The sequence below is a fragment of the Homo sapiens genome, chromosome 11 (assembly GCF_000001405.40).
Source record: "Homo sapiens chromosome 11, GRCh38.p14 Primary Assembly".
NCBI classification, from domain to species: domain Eukaryota; kingdom Metazoa; phylum Chordata; class Mammalia; order Primates; family Hominidae; genus Homo; species Homo sapiens.
Genome location: NC_000011.10, coordinates 27,325,781 through 27,337,257, shown reverse-complemented (window position 1 = coordinate 27,337,257; position 11,477 = coordinate 27,325,781).

The following is an 11,477-nucleotide window of genomic DNA, read 5'->3' as shown; positions in this document are numbered from 1 at the left end:
TATATTTTAAGAATAGTGGTTCAACCGGGAGGCGGAGGTTGCAGTGAGCCGAGATCACGCCACTGCACTCCAGCCTGGGCGACAGAGCGAACTCCATCTCAAAAAATAAAATAAAATAAAATAAAAGAATGGTGGTTCAAATGATTACCAAAACAATGCCTAGCATTTTTTATTAAATTTAAAAGTGTTTTATCTTTTTTAGAGGATGATCAAGAAATGAAAATTTATTGTGGCAGTATAAGAATCAATCAATTCATTTAAAAGTGACTTCTATTTAGAATATATTCCATGTTTCTGCCAGATGAGTCATCTGCCAAGCTTCTGGTGATCTGCAGTGGTGCTGGTCAATGCAAGAAAACAGCAATACACTCTTTGAAGGGTATTCATGTCATCAGAAGTCTAGGAAAATTTAATTCTAAGCAGAGAACAGTTTATTAGGAATCAGTAGGGTTCATTGGGTCCAAATGTTGCTGAGATTTAGAGGCATGAGCATACTTCTCAGAACCTGTCAGATACAGTGAAACTTCCAGATGATCATTCTACTTGAGCAAATTCACTCATATAGAGAGAACATAGAGTTTGCCTGGATAGCAATAATCTTGTTTATAAGAAACATATATAGTATACATATTCCTGAATTTGTGAGGGTTTTATATACAGTTGTTACATCTTACAAACCAATTCTACAGAGTAGGTTAACTTTCAACTATAACTATAATCCTAATAAGTCTTTACAGTCATTCAATCATTAATCATTCATATGTATACCGAGTTCACTAGTTTGAATTTTATTCTAATCATAATAGGAAGTGTCCGGAAGATTTTAAGCAGGCAATTGATAAGATCTAGTTTATCTTTTGAGATTACTATGGCTGCTCTGAGGAAGTTGGCCTGTTGGGGGCAAAGAATGGCAGCAATGACACCCATTGGGATGACTTTGCAGTATCTGGCAGAGAAGTCATGATAGCTTGGATTAAAATGGCAGCAGTGACATGGTAAGAAGTAGAGATAAATTTGGGATTTATTTTGGAGGTGGAACAAACAAACACTAACATTCGGATGTCAGATTGAGAGAAGGAAGAAAAATCAGATTTGACTAGTTTTTTGGCCTGATAACTAGGTGAATGATGATACTATACCAGAAATATGAAGATTGAGAAGAGCAGGTGTATGGGCTGAGATGGGGAGAGGGAAGTCTTTAAGAATTCTGTCCTAGATTTGTTAGGTTTGCGATACCAACTTAATGACCTGGTAGAGATGGTTAAATATATGATGCTCTGGGGAGAGCCAGGATAGGAAATACAAATTTGAGCAACATCAGCACATACATGGTATTTAAAAGCATGGGACTTGATCAGGTTACCTCAGAAGAGTTTAGATAGTAAAAAGGGAAGGCTGAGTAATCCAATATTTAGAGATTAAGCAGCCGGCGAGGATCCTGAAAATATGCAGCCAGTGAAGTAGAAGGAAACCCAATAGAGTAGGATGTCACAGAATCCATGAGTAGAAGTGAGATGTGGACTCTGTCCAGTGCTGCTTGACAGAGAGGAGTCTTCACTGTTGTATTTCATAAGATGAAGGAGGGTCATTGTTGACTACAATGGCAAGCATGTCTTGAACAATTTCTATATGACTGGTATTCTTGTGCTTTTATATGTGCTATTTTAATCCTCACAACAGCCCTATGAGATAGTTACTTTTATTATCCTCATTTTAAGTTGGGGAAACTGAGGCACGAAGTTACGTTGCTTTTATAACTAGTAAATCACAGAACATGGATTAGAACCCATGAGGTCAAAGCCCAAACTTAATAACTGTATTTCCTCTCCTATATAATATATATGATAAGAAAAACAGGTATAAAACTACAATCGAATAGGCTGGAGAGAGAATGGAAGGTGAGAAAGAGCCTATAACTAAAGACATTCTGGAAACGTTTTATAGTGAAGAAGAGAAGAAAAGTGGGATAGGGGCCGGGCGCAGTGTCTCATGCCTGTAATCCCAGCACTTTGGGAGGCCGAGATGAGAGAATCATCTGAGGTCAGGAGTTTGAGACCAGCCTGGCCAACATGGCGAAACCCCGTCTCTACTAAAAATACAAAAATTAGCCGGGCGTGGTGGCAGGAGCCACCCAGCTCCTTGGGAGGCTACTTGGGAGGTTGAGGCAGGAGAATTGCTTGACCCCGGGAGGCGGAGGTTGCAGTGAGCTGAGATCACACCACTGCACTCCAGCCTGGGCAACAGAGCAAAACTCTGTCTCAAAAAAAAAAAAGAAAAAAAAGTGGGATAGGAGCTAGAAGAGAACATAGGGTCAAGGACATTTTCTGTTTGTTTTGCTTAGGCTGGGTGATACTAAATATACTTCTCTGAGGCTGGTAATGATCCAATTGAAAGGGAACCTGAAGATTTAGGAGAGATTAGGGGTGATTTTAGGAATGCAGTTCTTAAATAGCAAAAATGCTGGTTTATATAGAAGCAAGGAAATTTCTTCTATTCACAGGGAGAACAAATTGTACATACAGGTTCTGATTTGGCTGGATTGATAATGTTGGTGGCAGGAAGACAAGATAGGCAGTTCTTGTCAAATCACTTCTTGTTTCTCAGTGAAGTGTGAAGGGAAGGCAAGGTCATCAGCAGAGGGATAGAATAGGATGTTCCAAGTTTGAGGAAAAGGAAAAGGTTAATAGAAAAGTAAGCATTTTGGAGAAAGAAATTTGCCAGAGAGATTAGCGAGACTGATGGGCAATGTTGTTTGCCATTTGATATTTTTGGGCATAAAGACCAATTAGTGAAGTTCTGTTATGTTTCTCTTTATTTCTGGAGAAAATTTAGCTAGTTAGATGTAGACCCAGAATCACTTATAATTGGAGCTGGACAAGTGGGCAAGTAGGATGGAGGGAAAAAGGAACAAAGCAGTTAAAGTGTTTTCAAGGGAGTGATTATGGTACTGAAACATATTACTTAACACAGGTGGTGAGGAAGGGGTCTTCGTAGATTTCCCGTGCTGTTTTGAGGTTGAGTGGGGGGTGCTTGAGGGAAGCTAGAGAGATAGGGGCTTTTGGTCAGGATGTTGATGACAAGAACCAGAGTATGGCCATGGCAGTCAGTGGCCCAGATGGAACATAACAACAAAGTTGAAGAAATTAAGAATGTTAGAGGCCAGAGCCAGGTGCAGTGGCCTGCACTTACAGTCCCAGCTACTCAGGAGGCTGAGGCAGGAGGATCACTTGAGGCCAGGAGCTGGAGTTTCCATGCACTGTGAGTGCACCTATGAATAGCCATGGCACTCCACCCTGGCAATGCAGTGAGACCCTGCTCTAAAAAAACAAAAAGTATGGAAGTAACTTTTTAATGTGGATATTGAAATTGCCAAGATTATGATAGAAGTTGTGGTAGAGAGGAAGATGGCAAGCTGGGTGCTAGAATTTCAGCAAACCAGGGTAACTGGCTAGCCAGATGACAGTCAAAAGGAGTAATATTGGCTAATGTGGTCAGATGGAATAATCTTCAGAAGAGTAGGAAGTTTTGAAGGAGGAAGGAGATGAAGTGGTTTGGAGGTGCCAATGGGGAACAGGATGGGTAGAGAAAACACCTTCCTACCTACCAACTCCAAGCCCCTGGAGGTTGGAGGCTACAAACGGTTAAAAAACTTCTCAGGAGTCCATTGCAGGCATGAAAAACGTTTAAAGCATGGCCGTAGCAAGATGGTTTTGAGGGACAGAGACCAAAGACAGAGCCACCAGTAATGACATTATGGAACATTCCAGGAAGAGGTGATTGAGGATCCAATGAGGGTAGTAGGGTTGAAGAGAAGAAATGTGTGAAAGATCCATCAGAAGTAGAACTTAGGCCAGGTGTGGTGGCTCATGCCTATAATCCCAACACTTTGGGAGGCCGAGGTGGGAGGATCACTTGAGCCCAGGAGTTGAGCCCAGGAGTTTAAGACCAGCCTGGACAACATAGGGAGACCCCATCTCTACAAAACATTAAAAAATTAGCTTGGCATGGAGGCTTGTGCCTATAGTTTCAGCTACTCAAGAGGCTGAAGTGGGGGGATCGTTTGAGCTCAGGAAGTCAAAGCTGCAGTGAACTGTGATCATGCCACTGCACTCCAATCTGGGTGACGAGCGAGACCTTGTCTCAAAAAAAAAAAAAGTAGAACTTAAAGGGCTGCTTTGGAGCTGACGGGTGATGATAATATTAGCAGAGAAAGGGAATACAGAAAGGAATGACAGCTTTGGGGGTGAGAAACTGAGGGTTTTTTTTTTCCCCTTTCAAATTGTTTATCAAAGTAATATATGCACATAGTTTAAAATTCAAATAGTACTAAATGTTGTTTGATGGAAAACAGGAGCGTTTTGCTTACTTCTCACTGCCTCACAGTCTTGCTCCCAAGGGGATATTTTATTGTATTATTTATTTGATAATTTCCTCTCATAATATTCTCTGGTCCCTTTTTTCTAGAATCCTGTTAGGCAATTACTGGTCTTCCTGAATTAATTCTCTAATAATTTAAAAGGAAATATTTTTCTCCTGTCTTACTTTTTTCCCCCTACCCTGGTGAGGGAGACCACTTTCTGTGAGAAGTCCTTGATGTTATTTTCCAATTCTTGAATAATTTTTTTATGGCTACCTTATTTTAAATTCCAAACATTCTTTTCTGTTTATTCCTTTTTCATAGCCTCCTATACTTATTTTATGGATGCAATATCTTTTTTCATCTCTAAGGACATTAGTTGCAGTTTTTTTTCTTAATTGGCTCTGTTTCTTCCAGATGCCTTTTTTTCTTCATTTTCTCTTTTTCTGAGGTTTTATTAGAGGTTTTCCTCAAACGTTTTTTAATCCTTGTCTGACATTTATATTTGTTATATGAATTCCTGTCTGTTCCTATTTAAGAATAGGGCATTAAAAGGCTGAATAGAAGCTATGTGGGCATAGGTAGGGCTTGTTGATGGTGGATTTTTTATTGTTGTGGGTAGACTTCCAAATACCTGGAAGTCTTTCCCCCTTAGGCTGTTCATTTTCTCAGAGAAGGATCTTCTAATCTTCCGGAGAGATATAAGCCTAGCTGCCAGCATTCCGGAGTAGGACCTGGGAATGTAGTTCTGTATATCACAGTTCATTTCTTGGTAAACTGTCACTTCCTGTGTTTTCAGTCTAGCTAGTTAGTGTATAAGCTTCATTCTCCTTAGTAGCTAGTGTTCCCCTATGCTGAGCCCTTCCAGGATTCTGCAGGCTGAATTTTTGTTGTTGTTGTTGTATTTATTTCAGCATTTAGAAACCTTTAAACAGTAAAAGAGAAAAAGAAAAAAAAAAGGCACTCAGAGGAAACAGAGCCAATTAAGAAAGAAGAAAAAAAATTGCAACTATCATTAATGTCCTTAAAGATGAGGAAAAACACTACATCCATACTGTCCTAACTCCAGTACTCTCCTAAGTCAGTTGTTTCACCTCTATCCTCTCTGCACCATCCCAAAATTTGTAGGAATCTGTGGTTAACCATTGTATTCTCTTCTGTTTGCCCTTGTGGATTTGTACATTTTTTCTTAAAAGAAATTCCTTTGCCATCATCTTAGCAGAGATTGGAGTGGGAAAGGAGATAATTCTGTATGATTAATCTGCTATGTTTAATTGGACATCCTGAATTTAGTTATGAACATATTGACATAAGGGGGTGTTACAGATAAAGGTTTGTTGCCCAGATGAGAAGTGTAGTTTTGGGAATATTTAGACCTTATTAGTTTAACATAATCATTGAAACTATGGAGGTGAATAGCATTTCTCAAGAAGAGTCTGAAGCATGACATTCTTTTATTCCTTCATTCCACCCATATTAAGTGCCTGCCATATTTGGCCCAGAAAAGATAGACTAGGATGGAATGTAGAGGTTGAGTATAAAGGTAAGGCAGAAGGAAAGAAGCCACTGGAAGACCAGTGAAAATGGTGGGAGGTGCAAAAGAGGAAAGTGTGCCACAGTGAGAGAGGGGAGCTTTCAGGAAGGGGAAGTAGAAGGTCTTCTAGAATATCAAATGCTGTGCAAGCAGTCAGGTAGAATGAGCAAGGCATTCTAGTATGTATTGAATTCCTAGCACTATGCTAGAATCTGGGGATTCTAGTGGTAAACAAGACTGAACTAATCCTGAATCTGTTAGCATTTACATTCTAGCAGAGATTACAGTTAAAGCCATACTTACCTTAAAGCACAAGCTGTGAGGGCATATGAGGAGGTAGCTAACCTTTGTTGGAGTCAGGAAAAGCTTCTGGGACAAAGTGATTAAGCTGAGACTCAGGCTTGAGGCACCCGAATAAACAAAACTTAGAATTTAATAATTTTGGAGGCTGGAGAGTAAGGAATGGACTTAGAACACTGGTGGTTCCCTATGTAACCTTTCTTTCTTTCAGATTCCAAGGATAGGTGATATGACAGCTTTTGAACATCAAAGGGACTTTCAGATGCTTGTATATATTGACACATTACTACAAAGTTACAAAGGAAATTTCTAAAATCCTGGTCATTTGTAAAGAAAATATTTAACATTCTATGGGAAAATATACTTTGAGGTTTGATGACAAACATAGGCCATCTGTGGCCTCAGAGTAATAAAGATGGGGCTTCTTATTTTGAAAATAAATTGCTAATGATCTAATTAGCAATTCAAAGCTTATTCTTTCATGGACTTGCTTATTATGATACCTAAGGCCTAGGTGAATCAAGAATACAGTAGTTATGTTACACTAACAAATTACACTGTGATTTAAATGTAATACCTCAAACTATAACAATCCTAGAAGAAAACCTCAGAAACACCATTCTGGATATCAATGTTGAGAAAGAATTTATGACTAAGTCCTCAAAAACAATTGCAACAAAAACAAAAATTGACAGATGGGACCTAATTAAACTAAAGAGCTTCTGCACAGCAAATGAAACTATCAACAGAGTAAATAGACAACCTACAGAATGGGAGAGAATATTTGCAAATTGTGCATCCAACAAAGGTCTAATATCCAGAATCTGTAAGTAACTGAAACAATTGAATGAGCAAAAAAAAAAAAAAAAAAAAATTAAAAGGTGAGCAAAGGTTATGAACAGACACTTCTCAAAACAAGACGTACAAGTGGCCAAGAAACATGAAAAATGCTCATCATGACTAATCATCAGAGAAACGCAAATCAAAACCACAATGAGATACCATTCTCACACCAGTCAGAATGGTTATTATTAAAAAGTCAGAAAACAACAGGTGTTGGTGAGGCTGTGGAGCAAAGGGAATGCTTATACACGTTGGTGGGAATGTAAATTAGTTCAGCCATTGTGGAAAGTAGCTTGGAGATTTCTCAAAGAACTTAAGGCAAACTACCGTTTGAACCAGCAATCCCATTACTGGACATATACCCAAAAGAAAACAAATTGTTCTACCAAAAAGACACATGCATGTGTATATGTTCATCACAGCACTATTCACAATAGCAAAGACATGGAATCAACCTAGGTGCCCATCAGCAGTGGATTGGATAAAGAAGATGTGGTACATATACACCATGTAATACTACACAACCATAAAAATGAACAAAGTCATGTCCTATGCAGCAACATGGATGAAGCTGGAGGCCATTATCTTAAGTGAATTAATACAGGAACAGAAAACCAAATACTGCGTGTTCTCACTTATAAGTGGGAGCTAAACATTGAGTGCTCATGGACATAAAGATGGGAACAGTAGACACTGGGGATGACTAGAGGGGGAAGGGAGGGAGAGGGACAAGAGTTGAAAAATTAAATGTTGGTTACTATGCTCGGTACCTCGGTGGGCGGGTGGGGGTCATTCATACCCCAAACCTCAGCATCATGCAATATATCCAGGTAGCAAACCTGCCCATGTACCCTGGGTCTAAAATAAAAGCTGAAAAGGAAAAAAAGAGTGTTTTCTCAAGCTCTAAAAAAAAAAAAATAGTAATACACTTTATGACAAAAAACTAATTTTTCTTTCTCCAAAAAAAATATAGTAAATGATATTCATGTATTTGCCGTGGTCATTAATATCATAAATTAAATTCATATGTTGGCTTGAGGGAAAAAACACAGTTACTTTACAGTGAATATTTACCTACTACTATTGATAATGGCAGTCTGCCTAAGAGAGCAAATTTTTCAGAAAGGGCAATTGTATCTTGAATTACCTTTTAAAATTGAGAAGGGAAAATATTCAATTATCTGTCATTTGGGAGAAAGCTATGCCTTATGCGCAGAAGTCAGAGGGAACACTACCCTTTCCTTTGCTAGAAACAACAGAGCCACCTCTCCCTTTTCTCGTTCCTGGGCTCTTAGCTGATAGAATGCGCGTATGACCTTGGAAAAAGAAAGAGCCTCTCCCTTCCTCCTTGTTTCATGTCCCTGGGAACCACCTGAGGGGCAGCTGGAGATGGAAACTATCATTGTTTCTCTGGTGGTGGCAGCACAGGGTGGCGTGGGAGTGGAATGTGTTCTTAGTTGGAAAAATTTACCAAAACAACCATCCAGTACATACCAGTCTGCAACTCCCTCTCCCTGGGCCAAGAGTTTTCTTCCCTTTGTATAGGCTGAGATGCAAAGTGCTTACATAGGTAAATCTAAAAGGTAAGTCTTGAAAGATATCTCTCAATAAAATAGAGGAAATGCTCACCGGTTTATTGGTTCAATGAAGATGTTAGGCTGATGTCAAAGGCCCGTTTCTATCCTAAAAATTCTATTTTGTGTGGTTCATTTTTTGTGTTTTTAGTATGTGAACATTGGTCACTGCTTATCTCTAGTAAAGGTGGTGAGGACAATGTCATTCCCATCTTGAAAGAGTGGGTGGTTCATAAACAACTGACTTCAGGAAGCCTTCCTCTGGGCCAAGCCCAGTTTCTGCTGAGAGGCACCCTGGCTCAAGAGAGCTGTAGGGACTCACCTGAGGTTAAAAACATGGTCTGAGCCAGGCACAGTGCCTCATGCCTGTAATCCCAGCACTTTGGGAGGCCGAGCCCGGTGGATCACCTGAGATCAGGAGTTCGAGACCAGCCTGACCAACATGATGAAACCCCATCTCTACTAAAAATACAAAAATTAGCTGGCAGTGGTGGCGGGCGCCTATAATCCCAGCTACTTGAGGGGCTGAGGCAGGAGAATCACTTGAACCCTGGAGCTGGAGGTTGCAGTGAGCCGAGATCGTGCCACTGCACTCCAGCCTAGGCAGCAAGAGTGAAACTCCGTCTCAAAAAACAAACAAAATACATGATCTACTACCTACGCTGTGGGAACTTAGACAAGTCTCTTAACCTCTCTAAGGCACAGTTTACTCTTCTAAAAAATGCGCTTAATAATACTTGCTTCATAAGGTGATTGCAAAGATTAACAAACCATGTAAAGTACCTCATACAATATTTGACACATAGAAGATGCTTAATAAATCATTTTGTGTACTTGTTAATAACAGCAGTAGCATATGCCTACTGACAAATTATGTGATGTTACACATTTTCCAATACGTGATGCTTTATGGGATTTAGAAGCTTTAATGCAATCAGTTTCTTTGTTGTGATTTTGCAGAAATCTTCCAAATGAATTCTGTAAGGGAACTCTAGACATATGTTGGTTTTCTCTGGCTAGATTGATTTGCCTAATTAAATTTGATGCTTTTTTTTTCTTTTTTTTAAATTATACTTTAAGTTCTAGGGTACAATGTGCAGGTTTGATACATAGGTATACATGTGCCATGTTGGTTTGCTGCACCCAGCAACTCGTCATTTACATTAGGTATTTCTCCTAATGCTATCCCTCTCCCAGCCCCCAACCCTACAACAGGCCCTGGTGTGTGATGTTCCCCACCCTGTGTCCAAGTGTTCTCATTGTTCAATTCCCACCTATGAGTGAGAACATGCAGTGTTTGGTTTTCTGTCCTTGTGATAGTTTGCTGAGAACGATGGTTTCCAGCTTCATCCATGTCCCTGCAAAGGACATGAACTCATCCTTTTTTATGGCTGCATAGTATTCCATGGTGTATATGTGCCACATTTTCTTAATCCAGTCTATCACTGATGGACATTTGGGTTGGTTCCAAGTCTTTGCTATTGTGAATAGTGTCGCAATAAACATACATGTGGATGTGTCTTTATAGTAGCATGATTTATAATCCTTTGGGTATAAACCCAGTAATGGGATGGCTGGGTCAAATGGTATTTCTAGTTCTAGATCCTTGAGGAATCACCACACTGTCTTCCAGAATGGTTGAACTAATTTATACTCCCACCAACAGTATAAAAGTGTTTCTATTTCTCTACATCCTCTCCAGCATCTGTTGTTTCCTGACTTTTTAATGATTGCCATTCTAACTGGCATGAGATGGTATCTCATTGTGGTTTTGATTTGCATTTCTCTGATGACCAGTGATGATGAGCGTTTTTTCATGTCTCCGTTGGCTGCATAAATGTCTTCTTTTGAGAATTGTCTGTTCATATCCTTTGCTCACTTTTTGATAGGATTGTTTGTTTTTTTCTTGTAAATTTGAGTTCTTTGTAGATTCTGGACATTAGCCCTTCTTCAGATGGGTAGATTGCAAAAATTTTCTCCCATTCTGTAGGTTGCCTGTTCACTCTGATGGTGGTTTCTTTTGCTGTGCAGAAGCACTTTAGTTTAATTAGATCCCATTTGTCTATTTTGGCTTTTGTTGCCGTTGCTTTTGGTGTTTTAGTCATGAAGTCCTTGCCCATGCCTATGGCCTGAATGGCATTGCCTAGGTTTTCTTCTAGGGTTTTTATTGTTTTAGGTCTTATGTTTAAGTCTTTAATCCATCTTGAGTTAATTTTTGTATAAGGTGTAAAGAAGGGGTCCAGTTTCAGCAGTTTCAGTTTTCTGCATATGGCTAACCAGTTTTCCCAGCACCATTTATTAAATAGGGAATCCTTTCCCCATTTCTTGTTTTTGTCAGGTTTGTCAAAGATCAGATGGTTGTAGATGTGTTATTTCTGAGGGCTCTGTTCTGTTCCATTGGTCTATATCTGTTTTGGTACCAGTACCATGCTGTTTTGGTTACTGTAGCTTAGTAATATAATTTGAAGTCAGGTAGTGTGATGCCTCCAGCTTTGTTCTTTTGGCTTAGGATTGTCTTGGCAATGCGGGCTCTTTTTTGGTTCTATGTGAACTTTAAAGTAGTTTTTTCCAATTCTGTGAAGAAAGTCATTTGTAGCTTGATGGAGATGGCATTGAATCTATAAATTACCTTGGGCAGTATGGCCTTTTTCACGATATTGATTCTTCCTATGCATGAGCATGGAATGTTCTTCCGTTTGTTTGTGTCCTCTTTTATTTCATTGAGCAGTGGTTTGTAGTTCTCCTTGAAAAGGCCCTTTACATCCCTTGTAAGTTTTATTCCTAGGTATTTTATTCTCTTTGAAGCAATTGTGAATGGGAGTTTACTCATGATTTGGCTCTCTGTTTGTCTGTTATTGGTGTATAAGAA